Here is a 3,771-nt window from a genome sequence, read left to right on the forward strand (position 1 = left end):
CAAATTTGAAAGAGATATTTAATAAATTAGCTAGCTTACTTTAAATGTTGGCCACCCTAGGGCCTTAATTAACAAAAATGAATTAGTCAAGTATGTGCAACAAAAAGATGCTGTGTGATGCACCATAAATATGTGTAAGAATTCAAGAGAAGAGAAATTTAGAGTAAGTAGGTAACACCAGAAACCTTGGCAAGTAGCCACCTCTGGAAGTGACATGTAAGCTGAGAACTGGATTGAGCAGGAGCCAGCCCCTAGAGTGGCAGGGTTGGAGTGACGGAGGAAGGGACAGTGGAGTGCAGTGTGCCAGGAGAAAATAGTGATCAGGACGTCCTGGGGCAGGTTCCAGAGCTCCCAAAAGATCAACATGGCTGGAACAAGAGTCACAGATAGTGAAATTGAAGACAGAGGCAGGCGCATTAGTCAGTTTCAGGGTGCCATAACACAACAGCTTAAACACAGCTTAGGCAGCTTAAACACAGACCTATTTTCTCACATTTGTGGAGACTGAAAGTCCCAGATCAAGGTACTTGCATAGTAGGTTCATTTTGAGGCCCCTTTCTGGGCTTGTAGGTGGCTGCCATCTTACCGTGTGCTCAGAATGACCTCTGGGTGTACTCGGAGAAGAAGCAAGTTCTCTGATGCCTCTTCTTTTAAGGACACTGATCCCATCATGAGGCCCCCGTCGTGACTTCATCTAACATTAATCACCTCAAAGACTCCTCTCCAAATATAGGCACATTGGGTTAAAGGTTTCAACATATGAATTTGATTCATGTTGGGATTACAGGCATAAGCCACTGCGCCCGGCCTCAAAAGTCTCTTAAGGCGGGATTCTGGGATTACCTGCATTCAGGGGTCCTGCAATGTGTGTGTGTGTTCCCCAGGACCAGGCTGTTTCTGCTGCACATTGAGATCGGAGAGCCATCTTCTCCATGCATTGGTGACCAGGAGGCCCTCTCTGTGGCTCTGCTTGGGGCTGGTTCTCGATTTCTTTGGGAAGCCAGGGAGGAGTCTGTTGAGATTGACCAAGAGCGAGTTGAAGAGTCAGTTGAACAGTGTTCCTGGCTGAGGACTCTCCTGTATGCCTGTTGAATAGGGGACCTGAGCTGCTGTTCTCCAGGGAGAGAAAAGCTGTGAGTCCAGGGCAATTGGGAGAACAGGACCCTGGCCAATTCTTGCAATGTAGACATGCCTTAGAAAGAATCCCCATACACCCAATTCGTTACTTGTTTTTCTTTACCCTGACACTCATGCTGTGCATGTACATGTTGAAGAATGAGTCAGATGACCTTTATTTCCTTGTAGGTCTGTTTGTAACACATGCCAAGTTTAGACAAAGACTTTGGAGTTTTGGGTGCAAGTGGCTAGACTTGTCTCCTGGCCAGCTCTGTCATTAGTCAAGCAAGCAGACAATGTGGAGGTGAAAGGAAAATGGGGTGCAGTGAAAACCAAATGAGGCTCTGCAGCAGAAGCAGCTCTAGGTGGCTGGGCATGGTGGCTCACACCTGTGATCCCAGCACTTTGGGAGGCTGAGGCCAGCGGATCATGAGGTCAAGATATCAAGACCAGCCTGGCCAACATGGTGAAACCCCATCTCTACTAAAAATACAAAAGATTAGCTGGGCGTGGTGACACGCGCCTGTAGTCCCAGCTACTTGTGAGGCTGAGGCAGGACAATTACTTGAACCCGGGAGACAGAGGTTACAGTGAGCCAAGATAGCGCCACTGCCTGGTGACAGAGCGAGACTCCGTCTAAAAAAAAAAAAAAGAAAAAAAAAGAAGCTCCAGGCATGGGAGCAGAGCTTATCACTTCTCAATTTCGTCATTAACCACCCTCTCTCGACACTTTAAATAAACCTAAAATTATTGTGAAAGAATAACATGCTTACTGTGCTACCAACCTTCAAAGTATGTACTCTGTCCCCAACCCCAGACCTGCTGCTACACACACCCATACCTTTCAACCACATTGCTAGCTGGATGCAGAGGCTCGGGCCTGTAATCCCAGCACTTTGGGAGGCCAAGGCGAGAGGACCACTTGAGCCCAGGAGTTCAAGACCAGCCTGGGCAACATAGTGGACCCCATCTCTACAAAAAATACAAAAATTAGCTGGATGTAGTGGGACACACCTGTAGTCCCAGCTACTCAGGAGGCTGAAATGAGAGGATCACTTGAGCCTGAGAAGTCAAGGCTGCAGTGAGCTGTAACTGCACCACTGTACTCCAGCTTGGATGATGAGTGAGACCCTGTCTGAAAAAAAAAAAACATGGCTTATGCCCCTTCACTACCTACTGCCTATAAATTCTGGAGCTGCCACTGCTTTGAAGTAAGTAGAAAGAAAGCCTGCAGGCCGGTTATGGTGGCTCATGCCTGTAATCCCAGCACTTTGGGAGGCTGAGACAGGCAGATCACTTGATGTCAGGAGTTCGAGACCAGCCTGGCCAACGTGGGGAAACCCTGTCTCTACTAAAAATAGAAAAAATTAGCCTGGCATAGTGGTAGGTGCTTGTAATCCCAGCTACTCAGAAGGCTGAGGCAGAAGAATTGCTTGAACCCAGGAGGTGGAGGTTGCAATGAGTCAAGATAAAATACAAAAAATTAGCCTGGCGTGGTGGTGGGCGCCTATAATCCCAACTACTCAGATGGCTGAGGCAGGAGAATCGCTTGAACCCAGGAGGTGAAGGTTGCAGTGAGCCGAGATCGCACCACTGCCCTCCAGCCTGGGTGACAGAGTGAGACTCCGTCTCAAAAAAAAAAAAAAAAAAAAAAAGCTTGCAGCATCTGGTTTTTCAAGACCATCTCCCCATCAAACACAGTATAATGTAGTAGCCAAGAAAGCAGTATCTGGAGACTGACTGGGTTTGAAACCCAGCTCTACCATATACTAGCCTTGTGTGGTCTTGTGTAACTCACTTGCACAAAGTCTCAAAGCTTCAGCTTTCCTTTTCATAAAATGGAGATGATACTAATACCTACCCACCTCTTGTAGTTGTTGGGAAGATTAAATACAAGTGTAGATACCTTAATCCATTTGTTCTACTATACCAAAATGCCTGAGATTGGGTAATTTATAAATAATAGAAATTTATTTCTCACAGCTCTGGAAGCTGGAGAGTCCAAGCTCAAGGCACCGGCAGGGTTGGTGTCTGGTGAGAGCCTGGTCTTTGCTTCTAAAGTGGCACCTTGCTGCTGCATCCCCCAGAGGGAATGAACACTCTGTCCTCACACAGCAGAAGGGCGGGAAGTGGAAGAAAGGGCCTGAGCTGGGTCCCCCGAGCCCTTCTACAAGGCACTAATGCCATTGATAAGGGCAGACCCCTCATGGCCTAATCATCTCCTAAAGGCCTCCCTTATACCACCACAATGGGGACTAAGTTTCAGCACATGACTTTTGGGGGCATTCAGATCATAGCTCTAAGTAAAATGTTTGAAACAGTTCTTCGGCAATAAGCGTAATCTGTCATTACTACCCCTACTAACTGGGACAAACCCTGCTTGGCTTCTGAGAGAAAATGAGATCGGATGCCTTCAGGGTGGTTGGTACAGCCATAGGCATTTGCATCCTTCACTCACAAACGGCCTCGGCCAGCTGCTCGACATTATATTGTGGCGCATTGCTGCAGCACCCCACTCACAGATATCTGCCACCTTTCAAGTTCAGCTGTGCCATGGCAGAAATCACAACTCTTCCCTCCTCCCTTCCTCCCATCAATAAAATGGAATTATTCAGCGTGAGGTAGAAAATAGATTTTTTTTTTTTTTTGAGATGT

General features: G+C 47.1%; 1 pseudogene; it reads right to left on the reverse strand.

Moving 5' to 3' along the window:
* On the reverse strand, window positions 3,441-3,551 carry RNA5SP80 (RNA, 5S ribosomal pseudogene 80; annotated as a pseudogene).

The sequence above is a fragment of the Homo sapiens genome, chromosome 1, assembly GCF_000001405.40.
Source record: "Homo sapiens chromosome 1, GRCh38.p14 Primary Assembly".
Lineage (NCBI taxonomy): Eukaryota > Metazoa > Chordata > Mammalia > Primates > Hominidae > Homo > Homo sapiens.